Consider the following 14,034-nt stretch of genomic DNA (forward strand, 5'->3'; position numbering starts at 1 on the left):
GAGCCACCACGCCTGGCCTTTTTTGAGACAGAGTCTCACTCTGTCGCCCAGGTTGGAGTGCAGTGGCGCAATCTTGGCTCACTGCAACCTCCACCTCCTGAGTTCAAGCAATTCTGCCTCAGCCTCCCTAGTAGCTAGGATTACAGGCATGCGCCACTGCGCCTGGCTAATTTTTGTATTTTGAGTAGAGATGGGGTTTCACCATGTTGGACAGGCTGGTCTTGAACTCCTGACCTCAGGTGATCCACCCACCTTGGCATCCCAAAGTGCTGGAATTACAGGTGTGAGCCACCAAGCCCAGCCTATTTCCAACACTCTTTACATTCCCTCTCTTTTCAAAATTATGAAAAACTTCTAATATACACACAATTATAATGAACCCCATATACCTATTACCAAGATTCAATAATTATGAACATTTTGCTGCAGTTGTTTAAAACAAATTATGCTTAGAAGATTTCATCTCTAAATACTTTAGTATATACTTCTAAAAAATAAAGACATTTCTGGAAGGGTGCGATAGCTCACGCCTGTACTCCTAGCACTTTGGGAGACTGAGGTGGGCGGTTCATCTGAGGTTGGGAGTTTGAGACCAGCCTGACCAACATGGAGAAACCCTGTCTCTACTAAAAATACAAAATTAGCCAGGCGTGGTGGTGCATGCCTGTAATCCCAGCTACTCAGGAAGGCTGAGGCAGGAGAATCACTTGAACCCGGGAGGCAGAGGTTGCGGTGAGCCGAGATCGTGCCATTGCACTCCAGCCTGGGCAAGAAGAGCAAAACTCCGTCTCAAAAAATAAAAATAAAATAAAATAAAGACATTTCCTTTCATAGCCACGATATCATCATCACACTTAACAAAATCAGCAGTAATTCCTTGTTATCTATTACAGGGTCCAGATTTAAACGTCTCTATTTGTTTCAAAGAGGTCTTTTAAACCATCTGTTTACTTAAATCAAGAACCAAGTAAGAGCAACACGTTTTATTTGAATGTCTTTTTAAATCTCTTCATCTAAAACAGATCCTCCTCCCCACTCTTCTTTTCATGCCATTGTCTTACTGACAAAAGGTAGTCAGTTTTCCTATTGAATGTCTTTGCAAGCTGTATTTGTTTATTTACTCATTCCTCCAGGCTCCATGTTTTCTACAGACTACAAATTATATCTAAGGGTTTGATTATACTCATCCATTCCAATCTTTCACTCCCTGAACCTCACTCCACCAAAACTATTCAAGATCACCAGTGACCTCCACAGTGGTGAAGTCCAAATTCTCACCTCTATTATACTTGATCTAACAAGCAGTACTGACTAACATAGTTAATCAGTCTCTCCTCGATATGCACTTTTCTACTCGGTTTCTAGGATAGCACGTTCTTCTGGTTATCCTCTTACATTACTTTGCATTGTTCCTTGGTTCTTTACTAGTTTTCCCTTGTCTTTTTTTTGAGACGGAGTCTCACTTTGTTGCCCAGGCTGGAGTGCAGTGGTGTGATTGGCTCACTGCAACCTCCACCTCCTGGGTTCAGGTGATTCTCCTGCCTCAGCCGCCCAAGTAGCTGGGACTACAGGCACGCGCCACACCCAGCTGATTTTTGTATTTTTAGTAGAGATGGGGTTTCACCATGTTGGCCAGAATGGTCTTGATCTCTTGACCTCGTGATCCACTCACCTTAGCCTGGGGTACTGGGATTATAGGTATGAGCCACCGCATCTGGCCCCTTGTCTTTTAATACTTTAGTATCAACTAAGTTATTGCAGTAGTCTACTTACTGCTCTCCCTGATGTCATACATACCACCCTATAATCTATTCTCAACACAGCAGCCAAAGTGATCCTTTTTTTTTTTTTTTTTTGAGATGGAGTCTCGCTCTGTTGCCCAGGCTGGAGTACAATAGCGTGATCTCAGCTAACTGCAACGTCCACCTCCTGGGTTCAAGCGATTCTCCTGCCTCGGCCTCCTGAGTAGGTGGGATTACAGGTGTGTGTCACCACACCCAGCTAATTTTTTTATTTTTAGTAGAGATGGGGTTTCACCATGTTGGTCAGGCTGGTTTCGAACTCTTGACCTCGCCATCCACCCGCCTTGGCCTCCCAAAGTGCTGGGATTACAGGCATGAGCCACTGTGCCCGACCTGATCCTTTTCTTTTTTTTTTTTTTAGGAGACAGGATCTCCATGTGTGGCCGAGGCCAGAGTGCAGTGACTTTTCACAGGCACCATTGTAGCACACTGAAGCTTCAAACTCCTGAGCTCAAGATTTCCTGCCTCAGCCTCTGGAGTAGCTAGGGCTACAGGCCTGACTCCAAAGCGATCCTTTTAAAACATGAATCAGATTACATAAACACCCATTAATGGCCTCTCATTTCAGAGTAAAAGCCAATGTCCTTATAATGATGGTCCTTAGGATTCTATGTAATCTATCTCCCTTGCTCATTCTTTTCTACCCAGTTACCTACTTGCATTCACTAAAACATATCAGGCACACTCCTACCTCTAAGCCTTTGCAAACGGGAAATAAAGGATATTTTAATAGCATACTGAGATAGTTAGACTTTAATTTGAAAGATTTTTGGTTAAGAAATGGAGCATTTGAGAGGACAAGATGAGAAAGGAACCACCCTTTCTCAGATAAAAAATGTTTGGTTCTTTCTGCCATTCCCTATTTATCCTAGCATTATTTCAATGCCATCTAGCTCCTAACGCCTGCTATATGAACACAACAAATAGGAGTAGGGTGACTCCTGACTAAACACAAGTCATTTCTCAGTTTGCTTTCTCTTTTCTGTAGCATCCTTTGCCTTCTAAGATGCTCTATTTTCATCTTTTTCTGAGATTATTCCTTTCTTCTTTAGTTGGTTCTTTCCATCCTAATGGTCCCAATCCTTCTGGGCAAACTGCAAGGATGAATTCTTTGCTCTTTTCTTACTAATGTTTCCATTGACAAAGTACTCTCATTTCATGGATTCTTTAATTATTCTATTTTTACATTTCTTATCAATTTATCTTGTCAACACTTATCCTACCCAAGCTCCGTAAGAACTTTAGGATTTCTATGAAGCAATATAGATAATAAAGTGTTATAATACTCCACAGGTAAAGGCTTTTGCCTTAAAGACAGTAGTTAGTTGTAGATAACAGGTTATTAAGGGGCCAGGCGCGGTGGCTCACACCTGTAATCCCCACACTTTGGGAGGCTGAGGCAAGATAATTCCTTGAGCCCAGGAATTTGAGGTTACAGTGAGCACACCACTGCACTCCCGCCTGGGTGACACAGTGAGACCCTGTCTCTTGTAATTTAAAAAAAAAAAAAAAAAAAAAAGGAAAAAGACCAAAAAGGAAAGTTATTTATAGAATGGTATTTCAAAACTCTTCTGGCCAGAGTTTTTTACTCACACAGGCATTAAACCAACTATTATTCACTCTTCAAAGTACTTAAAATTACAACAGACCTTTACTTACTTGGCTTAACATTGGTCTTTTCTGGAACAAGCCCTTGAGATGTCTCATCTAATTCAACAAGAATTCTACCTTCCAAGGTTGGAATGTTTACATCTTTCAAACCAAAGTGTCTATTTCGTTCGTATTCCTTATGTCTATTTTCTTTCTGAGACAGTGATTTCCTATGAGCAATTTTAGTTCTAATCATTTCAGTACTTATATCCTTCCTGTGTCGACTGGCAAAATGTGATGAAGACATCCTGTCAAGGAAAAGGACAAAACCCAACTTACATGAATTTTCATTATTTAAAAAATTAAGATTACAGTTCATTTCCTGTCCCACTTCAGGGCCTTCTGAAATAAAAATATAAAATGTGCAATGAAATAAATATGTAACACTGAAAAGTGAGAAGAAGATTATCAGAGAATAAGAAGCTACCTATTTGGGGGTTTTAAATAGGAACTTGCTTGACCAGTGAAGAGAAAGCCAGTAAGTGATAGTCCAGAATAAAAGAGGCTCTGGGCTTACCACAGAGAACACTGCAAAAAGAAAAGCGTGAAATAAAGGTGAAAATAGGTTAAGTGAAGGACCATGTACACAAGGGTTTCCTTACCCATGATGAGGAATGCAGGTAGTCTAACATTTCTTCTAAAGCCAAAAGAAAACCAAAAACAAACAAAAACCCCACACCAGGTACCTATTAGTCATATAGGGATAATCAATAGGCAACCGGATACAGATAGAGTTGGATAGAGAGGCACAGGGCAAAGTATGTGGAAAGGAACAAGGAGCTTCCATGCTCTCTCAGGTAGCACCACTGTTTAGGAACCTTCATGTATTCACCTAAGAAGCTCTCCAAACACAGGTGTTTTTTTTTGGTTTTTATGGCAGCTTCATTACATAAGCATGAGTGATTAAATCATTGACCACTGGTGATCAAGTCAACCTTCAGCTCCTCTCCCCTCCCCAGAGGTTGTGAGGTGGGGCTGAAAATGCCAACTCTCGAGAAATCCTGCCTTGGTCTGTCTAGTGACCAGCCCCAATCCTGAAGCTATTTAGAGGCATCCAGCTATCAGTCAATCATTAGCATACAAAAAGGTACCACTTTGAAGACTCCAAGGATTTTAGTAGTTGTTTGCCAGAAAACAGAACAAGACCAAATATATAGTTCACAATAACCCTATCAGTTTGCTCCATTATTTTCATCCATACAAGAAATCATACAGTTTAGGCCGGCACGGTGGCTTAGGCCTGTAATCCTACCACTTTGGGAGGTCGAGGCAGGACTGCTTGAGCCCAGGAGTTTGAGACCAGCCTGGGCAACATAACACGACCCCGTCTCTATAAATTTTAAAAAAGAAAAGCCATACACACACACACACACACACACACACGCACAAAATCATATAGTTTAATTGGCACATGCCTTTTTCTTGGAAAGATCTTTGAGAATGTATTCAAGCAAAACAAAAGAGGACAATAAAGACGACGTCAGTAGATCCAACTAGGGAGAACAAAGAAAATTAGAAAGTTTGAGGGGGTCACCTGTGTAGCTGGTATAGAGAACTACCAAGCCAAACTGGAGAAAGGATACTGATTCTCAGAAGTCTTGGCAGTTAAAAAACAAAAACAAAAAAAGGTAAGGGGGAGGCTCTGTGATAGACACACTATGGTATATTCTTCAACAAGAATTAACTAAATCCACTAGAAAACTCCAGATAATAGAAAAATTGGCACAAGTAATGCAATACATTGTTACATGATTCTAAGCAATCAACAAAATATAAAAAACGAGAATCTGTCTGACCTGCATGCTAATAACATTCTCCTCTAAGACCCAAGGAAAGTGACAATGGACTGTGCTTTTCATAAAGAACTGTCTTCTACTATTTATCTCCTGCAATATTAATTCGCTAAAGATTGAAGAAAAATTAAGACTTATGTATTAAATACAGGATAGCACTATCCACAGCAAGAGAAAGAGCGAGCGAGGACAACATTAAAGGTACAATTATCAGAATAACCCTGAAAGGTAGTTAACTATTATCGCTCTCATACAGATGAGGTCAATTAACTGCTCACATTAGCATATCTAAAAGGTGGTGAAGCTGGGATCCCAAGCAAGGCAGCCCTGGCTCCACACACACCTAAATTTTGTTTGGCTGAGTGGCGTTTCCTCCAGCTTGAAAGTCCAGAATGCGTTAATCTTGCTTGACTAGAGGTTCTCAACCGGGCGTTTTTAGTTGCCATGGGACCTGGGAAGAGCTACGGGAATTTAATGTCGGAGCTAGTGAAGAACAGTTTCACCCCAAAGGTCAATTACGCCCCGGTGGTGAAACGCTGACTATTACAGAGGTCAGGGCAAACATATGGACTCTTCTAAAGGCTCGCATTATCAGCTTCGGGAAGGGCAGGTAACACGGTCCTAAAGGAGCCTGCCTCTGACTTGCTCCCGCTCGCAGCCCCCGGTCCTCAGACCCTTCTAGACCTTCAACGGAAGCGGGCCAGTGTTCTCCGTCCAGCTCTCCAGCACCCACCTACCTGAGCCACCTTCTAGCGTGAAACCTCAACCAAACAAAAAGTAAAGAACACTCGGTCTGGACGACCACCGCCGACTCCGAAGCAGGAACCCTCACAACCCGAGCCTCCACGAAATTCAAACTTGCCGCACCGAGCCGCTGATTGGAGGGGCTTTAACCAACACTTCCGGGGAAGATCCCACCCCTTCCACTCAACGAGGCTTGCGATTGGTTTGCTCCGTGCGATATTTGAATTGATTGAAAGGTGAAGGGCCAGTTCAAAAGATGGGTGAGAGAGGGAAAATAGGCGGGACCGCGACGCGGGATGAGAAGGAGTGGAGCAGTCGGGGCGCTCACGTCAGGTGAAGGGCGGGAGTGGGCGGTGGAGCCCGAGGGGTGAGGCTGGGTCCCTGGCAAAGCTGGGCTGCGGGAAATCTCCCCCAGAGCTCGCAAGGCTTTTTTTTTTTTTCTTTTTTCTTTTTTTTGAGACAAGGTCTCTGTCCCTTAGGCTGGAGTATAGTGGGCACCGACCACTGCTCACTGCAGCCTTGAGCTGCTGTGTTCAAACCATCCTCCCACCTCAGCCTCCCGAGTAGCTGGGACTATAGGCGCGCACCACTACGCCTGGCTAACTTTAAAAAAATTCCGTAGAGACAGGGCCTCACTACGTTGACCAAGCTGGATTCAGGGCTTTTTAATGTCCTTGTTTAGTCACAGAATCTAGCAGACCTTCTTGGAATGTTTTCTTTACTAGACGTTTTAAAGAAAAGGCTTACCCCAATTATCAAATCCTTACATAGTTTAGCGTTACTTTTCAACGTCGCCAGCCCCCCTCCCCTTTTTTTTCTTTTTTAGTTCATTTTTTGTTGAGGCGAAGTTTTCGTATACAGTGAAAATAATAGTTTTTCCCCCCCAGTGGACAATTTGATGAGTTTGGTAAATGTAAACAGCTGTGTAACTACCACCCAATCAGGACGTAGAGCATTTCCATCACTCAGAAGAGTGGCCTGTTTCTTTCCTGTCCATCTCCCACCACATCAGCAACCACTCCTCTTATTTCTAGCACTATAAAAATGAAGGTGATAGGTACTCTTTTGGGTCTGCGTGAACCAGAAGTTAGTAGTGTTTGTTATTGAGAGGCATTCCATTGAATACTTTATGCATTCACCAGTTGATGGATTTGTATTGCTTTCAATTTTTGGTGATGATGAGCAAAGTTGCTATAACCATTCTCGTACAAGTCCTTGTGGGCATATTTTATTTATCTTGAGGAAATACAGGAGTGGAATTTCTGGGTCATTCTGGGTATGTTTAACTTAAAATTTTTTTTTTTTTTTAGAAGCAGGGTCTCTCCGTCCCCCAGGCTAGAGAGCAGTGGCACAATCATAGCTCATTGCAGCCTTGGCCTCTTGAATAGCTGGGACTATAGGCGGGTGCCGTCACCCATGTCTAACTTTGTAAGGAATTGCCAAGCAGTTTTCCAAAGTGGTTGTACCATTTTACAATTCCCACCAGCCACATATAAGAGTTCCACTTGTTTCACATGCTTTCCAGCACGTGGGGTTGTCAGTCTCTAATGTTCACCCTTCTGGCCAGGCACTGTGGCTTGCGCTTGTAATCCCAGCACTTTGGGAGGTCAAGGCGGGGGGATCACGAGGTCAAGAGATCAAGATCACCCTGGCCAATATGGTGAAATGCCGTCTCTGCTAAAAATACAAAAATTAGCCGGGTGTGGTGGTGCGCGCCTGTAGTCCCAGCTACTCAGGAGGCTGAGGCAGGAGAATCGCTTGAATCCAGGAGGTGGAGGTTGCAGTGAGCTGAGATCGCACCACTCCACTCTGGCCTGGGTGACAGAGTGAGACTCCATCTCAAAAAAAAAAAAAAAAAAAAAGAGACTGAGAATGGTGGCTCATACCTGTAATTTCAGCACTTTGGGAGGCCAAGATGGGAGAATCAGTTGAGGCCAGGAGTTCAAGTCCAGCACTGGCAACATAGCAAGACCCCATCTCTACCAAATAATAATAATAATAATAATACAATATTAGCTGGGCATGGTGGCGCACATCTCTAGTCCCACTACTTGGGAGGCTGAAGTGGGAACATCACTGGAGCCCAGGAGTTTGAGGTTACAGTGAGCTATGATCGCACCACTGTACCCTAGCCTGGACAAAAAAGTAGGAACCTGTCTCAAAAAAAAAAAAAGAAAAGAAAACTATTCTGCTATTAAGAAACTCTGATGCATTCTTCAGCATGTCAATTATATTTTTTGACCCTAGAATTTCTGCTTCTTTTAAATTATTTCAGCTTCTTTGTTAAATTTATCTGATAGAATTCTGAATTCCTTCTCTGTGTTATGTTGATTTTCTTTGAGATTCCTCAAAACAGCTGCTTTGAATTCTCTGCCTGAAAGTTCCTATATCTATGTTTCTCCAGGATTGGTCCCTGGTTCCTTATTTAGTTCATTTCATGAGATCATGTTTCCTGGATGGTGTTAATGCTTGTAGATGTTCATTGGTGTGTGGGCATTGAAAAATTAAGTATTTATTGTAGTCTTCACAATCTGGGCTTGTTTTTGGCTGTCCTTCTTGGGAAGGCTTTCAGGGTGTTTGAAGGGACTTGTGCCCCAAGCCTAATAATGCTGTGGTTTTTTCAGACTTGTAGAGGTACCACCTTGATAGTCTTGGCAAAGATCTGGAAGAATTCTCTGAATTACAGGCAGAGACTCTTGTTCTTTTCACTCACTTGCTCCGAAATAAATGGAATGTCTCTCTCTGCTGAGCCAGCTGGAACTGAGGGTGGTGGCTCACTGTGGCCACCACCACTGGGACTGTGCTGGATCAGACCTTAAGCCAGCACCTATCATGGCAGTGAGTTCCCCTAGGCCCCGGCTGTTCCCAGAGCTGGGCTGTCTGGGAGCCAGGGATTGGAGTCAGAAATCTTAGCAATTTACCTGAAGTTCTTTTTATTATTATTATTATTATTTTTTTAAGGTGGAGTCTCTGCCGCCCAGGCTGGAGTACAATGGCGCAATCTCAGCTCACTACAACCTCTGCCTCCCAGATTCAAGTGATTCTCCAGCCTCAGTCTCCTGAGTAGCTGGGATTACAGGCGTCCGCCACCACACCCGGCTAATTTTTGTATTTTTATTAGAGACAGGGTTTCACTATGTTGGCCAGGCTGGTCTTGAACTCCTGACCTGGTGATCCACCCACCTCGGCCTCCCATAGTGCTGGGATTACAGGTGTGAGCCACTGCGCCTGGCCTACCTGATGTTCTATTCTACTGTAGCTAACCTGGCATTCAAACCATAATACAAGCCCTTTCAACTCTTCCCTTCCCTTTCCACAGGCAGAGGAGCCTCTCCTATAGCCACCACCACCACCTGTTCATGGGGGTTTCTGCCAGGCCACGGCTGATGATCACATAAAGCTCAAGCATTCTTCTGTCAGCTTGCGGTGAATGCTGCCAGGCCTAGAACTCACCCTTCAGGGCAGTGGGCTCCCCTCTGGCCCAGGGCAGATCCAGAAATGCTGTCAAGAGCCTAAGCCTGGACTCGAGGACTCCCCCAAGAACCCTCTTGGTGCTCTACCCCTCTGTGGCTGAACTGGTACCTAAGGTGCAAGACAAAGCCTCCTTTATGTTTCCCTCTGCTTTTCTCAAATAGAAGGAGTCTTCCATTGTAGCCACCACAGCTGGGAATGTGCTGGGTCACCCCTGAAGCCAGCATATCTCAGAGCCCAAGGCCCACAGCATACTCGCTGGTATTGCTGCTATTCAGGGCCCAAGGACTGATGAATCCTGCCAGGACTGAGTCCTTCCTTTCAAGGCAGTAGGTTCCCTTTTGGCCCAAGGTGTGTCTAGAAATGTTGTCTAGGAGCTAGGGCCTGGGATGGGAGCCTCATCACCCTGCTCAATGTCCTATCGTACTGTGGCTGAGCTGGTATCCCAGATACAAGACAAAGTCCTCTTTACTCTTTGCTCTCCTCTACTTAAGCAGAAGGAAAGAGTCACTTTGTTGCAGAGAGCTGCACTGCCTGGGGTTTGGGGAGGTATGGCACAAGGTGTGCCAGCTGGTGTCACTCTAGGTCACTTACCATGCTAGTTCACTGGCTGTAAGGCAAGCCTAGCATTAGGAATTGCCTAGGACTTGCAGTCCTTGTGTTCAGACTGCCTTTCAGGTTTACCTAGGACCCCAGAGCACTTCAGCCTGCTGTGGTGTGCCTTGCTGAGAAGCTCAAGTTCCAATTGCTAGGCTATTGCCCTCTGGCTAGGGATGGTCCAAATCCTCCCTCCATGCGTGGGTGCTGGCTGAACCCAGCACAGCTTTAACTCTGCTGTGACAAGGCAGCACTGAATATAATGTGAAGTCCATCAGTCACTGCGCTCTCCCTCCCCAAAGTGCACAGATTCTCTCTCCATACCACATGGCCACTGGTGGAGGATGCGGGAGGGGTGGTGTCAGCAATTCAAGACTATTTCTCTTGCCTTCCTCAATGCCTCTTTTGGAAATTTGAAGTCAAAACCAGGTACCATGATTGTTCACCTGATTTTTGGTTCTGTGTGCAGATAGTCATTAAAATTTGATGTTCCAGTAAGAGATGAATGGTGTGGGCTTCTATTTCGCCATCTTGCTTCCTTTCCCCTCATTACTTATTTATTTAATCATTTGCCTATATCAGGATGGATTCTTAGAATATTTATTTTATACTTTGGGTTATACTCCCATACTACTTTATTTTATTGCTCAAATTGTTCCAGCTATAGCCATTGGCAGCTCTTTCAGTTTGTTCCTCTATCACTTTGACATATTCCCATCATTGTATAGTTTTTTTTTGTTTCTGTTTATTTGTTTTAGCACTTCCTTACTCTTTGATACCACAAGATGCTCATAACTCATCTTATATGTTTTCCTGCCACAGTACTAAAATCAGCATTTTTCCAAGTAGCATTAATTTGTATTTATTTACTTACTTGTGTTTTTTAAATCAGAGAACCTGTGAAACTTAGATAAGTGGTTAAATCATTTAAATCATTCTGTGGAGCTTAATTCAACATGGCATTGAGCCCTACTACGTACCAAGTGCTGTATTTAAGCACAATTGAAGAAGATACAGTTCCTGCCCTCAAATAGTTCTAATGGTGAAGTTGAAAGCAATTTTTTTGTTTCAAGTCCAGAGGAGCCATGATAACCCCATTCACTGTTAATCAACTCTGTTACCTGAGCAGTCGCTTGATCAGCCAACTAGCAACTGCTTATTGAATGCCTAATATTAATGACAAACATAAAATTAGTGACATTTTAATGAACACTGATAACCTCTGAACGATGTACAATTTTCAGTCTTTCAAATCTTAGTCTTTTATATTGTATACTAAACATTTTAAAAATGAGTACAGTTTCACTAGGATGCCAGCAAATTGTATCCTCCATAAAAATCACCAAATAATTATTCCCAGAAAAGGATTCTGCTGCTATCTGGAACAATGGCAGTATTCATGAGTCATTTATTTATTTATTTATTGTTTGAGTCTTGCTCTGCTGCCCAGGCTGGAGTGTAGTGGCGTGATCTCGGCTCACTGCAACCTCTGCCTCCTGGGTTCAAGTGATTCTCCTGCCTCAGCCTCCAGAGTAGCTGGGACTACAGGTGCACACCACCAAGCCTGGCAAGTAACTTGCCTTAAAGCAACCTACTCAAGATCACACAAGGAAAGTGGACAAATAAAAAATATTTAATTAATTATTTGATCCAGAGAGTATAATTTTGTCATTTATATTTTCTTCTTATGGTTACGTGTTTTCCTAGTTTTTCCATATGCACCTAATATGTTTTGCAATTATAAAATTGTTTAACAATAAAACATCCAAGTTTTATGATCAGTAATATTGCTCAATAAAATAGGAGTAAATGGAGTGCTGTATGCCAGCGTATTTTGTTTCTTTTGTTTTGTTTTGTTTTGTTTTGTTTTGTTTGAGACGGAATCTTGCTGTGTCGCCCAGGCTGGAGTGCAGTGGCGCGATCTTGGCTCACTGCAAGCTCCGCCTCCTGGGTTCACGCCATTCTCCTGCCTCAGCCTCCAGAGTAGCTGGGACTGCAGGTGCCTGCCACCACACCTGGCTAATTTTTTGTATTTTTAGTAGAGACGGGGTTTCACCATGTTAGCCAGGATGGTCTTGATCTCCTGACCTCGTAATCCACCCGCCTCAGCCTCCCAAAGTGCCGGGATTACAGGTGTGAGCCACCATGCACATGCCAGCATATTTCAATATGAGCCTACGGTTCTTTACTGTTGAACATGCAAAGAGCCTTTGTATTGACTATTTGATGACATTTTCTTGCAGCTTTGAATAGGGAAATGAACTGACTTAGGAGGCACATTGATAAAGTTAGAATGTTCCTTTTTGAGTGTGAAAATCCTTGGGCTTGCATTTTTTTTCTCTTCATGGGAATACATGCTATATAAAAAAAGTAACTTTACACAAAAGTTCTACAGAATGAATCTAATATACACATATTAATCCAATCATAATCTAACAAAACAGTGCATTGCAGAGTCAGCAGTCCTGCTATAGTAGCTGGTTTTAAACTCCAACTCTCACTTTAAACAGTGGCCCTAGCTACATCTTGGTGTCTTGACTACTTGGCTCCTAATTTGAATCCACATCTCTCTGAGGAGAGATAACTCTTCATTGTTTATTTATGCTCTTTCTAGAACAACAAGCTCCCTTTTAAAATGATTATATCACTTTGCTTCTCTTTGATTTTTTTATTCTTAAAAAAAATTTTTTTTTGAGTCAGAGTCTTGCTCTGTTGCCCATGTTGGGAGTGCAGTGGTGCAATCCTGGCTCACTGAAACTTCTGTCTCCTAGGCTCAAGCAATCCTCCCACCTCAGCCTCCCAAGTAGCTGGGACTATAGGCATGCGCTACCATGCTCGGCTGATTTTTTTAAAACTTTTTTGTAGAGATGAGGTCCCACTACATTGCCTAGGCTGGTCTCAAACTCTTGGGCTCAAGAAATCCTCCTGCCTTGGCCTCCCAAAGTGCTGGGATTACAGGTGTGAGCCACTGTGCCTGGCCAGATTTCTTTTATTCTATAGATTAAAAATTCTCTCACAATACTGAAGCAAGTATCAGTGTATACCTTGGAAAACATACTGATTTAAATTATTTACCCATTGATTCATAATTAGTTAATGGCAGAACTGAATCATGAATATGGGTACACTTTTCCCTTTGTTAGATCATCATTGGGCACAAGCATGTTTTGTCTCTGGAACTGGGCACACGGAACCCTATTTTAAAGTATCGATGCAGGCAGGAGCATTGTCTGTAGTCTGCCAAAGTTCTTTACTGTTAACTTGAGGAACCTTGTAATTTTTGTATCAGGAAACTTGTAATGTATCTTACTTGTCATGGCATCTGGTTTCAGGGAAGAGCTCTGAAAAACTATAATTCCTTTGTGCCATTATGTATGTACTTGGAAGTCGTAGAAGATTATATGCTTGTTTCGCAATGATGATACAATCCCTTGACAGGGGAGTGGACAGGGCTGGACAGCAGCCCTGAGCTTCAAGCTGAAAAGAAAAAATGAAATATAATAAAATTGAGAGTTCATGTAATGTGGCAGAGAATTTATGGCTACAAAAAAGGTAAGGTAGGAGAAAGAGAACTAAAGATAGTATGGACCTGCAAAGTCTGGTTTTTAGACATCAAGGGCAGTTGATGAGAAAACTTGTTCTCTCAAATCACAGACCTGAGCCATCCAACATGGTTGCCACCAGCCACATAGCTATTGAGCACCTGAATTGTGCCTAGAGTGACTGAGGAACTGAATTTTACATTTTACTTTCAGTACAGTTGACCTTGAACCACACGAAGATGAGGTGTGTTTCAGGCAGTAGAAAATTCGAGTATAACTAGTGACTTCCCTAAAACTTAACTACTAATAGCCTACTGTTGACCAGAAGCCTTACTGATAAACAGTGAATTGACACATATTTCCTATGTTTTATTTGTTTACTTATTTATTTATTTTAAAGACAGAGTCTCGCTCCATAGCCCAGGCTGCAATGCA

The 14,034-nt window shown here is 42.8% G+C and overlaps 1 protein-coding gene and 1 long non-coding RNA gene across 5 annotated transcripts in view, besides 3 other annotated features; one reads left to right on the forward strand and one right to left on the reverse strand.

The window, feature by feature from the left end:
* The window catches only part of DLGAP5 (DLG associated protein 5), a 43,451-nt gene extending 37,346 nt beyond the window's left edge, over positions 1-6,105 (reverse strand). For 2 of the 4 annotated variants that reach the window (NM_014750.5, NM_001146015.2), the window contains exons 1-2: positions 5,983-6,105; positions 3,462-3,700 (exon numbers count right to left, since the gene is read on the reverse strand). In NM_014750.5, the coding sequence (NP_055565.3) occupies positions 3,462-3,699 (238 nt within the window). In that variant the 5' untranslated portion in view covers position 3,700; positions 5,983-6,105. Of the gene's footprint in view, positions 1-3,461; positions 3,701-5,588 lie in introns of all 4 variants that reach the window. The other 2 variants (XM_017021840.3, XM_047432016.1) reach the window with 1 other exon arrangement.
* Positions 5,295-5,848: an enhancer, noted in NCBI's record as "H3K27ac hESC enhancer chr14:55657493-55658046 (GRCh37/hg19 assembly coordinates)". NCBI's record gives its function as "activates a minimal SCP1, AML or CMV promoter by ChIP-STARR-seq in primed H9 embryonic stem cells {active_cell/tissue: H9 hESC(primed)}" and the evidence as "EXISTENCE:reporter gene assay evidence [ECO:0000049][PMID:30033119]".
* Positions 5,849-6,401: an enhancer, noted in NCBI's record as "H3K27ac hESC enhancer chr14:55658047-55658599 (GRCh37/hg19 assembly coordinates)". NCBI's record gives its function as "activates a minimal SCP1, AML or CMV promoter by ChIP-STARR-seq in primed H9 embryonic stem cells {active_cell/tissue: H9 hESC(primed)}" and the evidence as "EXISTENCE:reporter gene assay evidence [ECO:0000049][PMID:30033119]".
* Positions 6,193-10,557, forward strand: LOC105370508 (uncharacterized). The gene is made up of 2 exons (XR_943888.3): positions 6,193-6,322; positions 9,309-10,557. It is a non-coding gene; the product is annotated as an uncharacterized LOC105370508 (long non-coding RNA).
* Positions 10,031-10,530: an enhancer, noted in NCBI's record as "H3K27ac hESC enhancer chr14:55662229-55662728 (GRCh37/hg19 assembly coordinates)". NCBI's record gives its function as "activates a minimal SCP1, AML or CMV promoter by ChIP-STARR-seq in naive H9 embryonic stem cells {active_cell/tissue: H9 hESC(naive)}" and the evidence as "EXISTENCE:reporter gene assay evidence [ECO:0000049][PMID:30033119]".

This window comes from Homo sapiens, chromosome 14, assembly GCF_000001405.40.
Source record: "Homo sapiens chromosome 14, GRCh38.p14 Primary Assembly".
NCBI classification, from domain to species: Eukaryota; Metazoa; Chordata; class Mammalia; order Primates; family Hominidae; genus Homo; species Homo sapiens.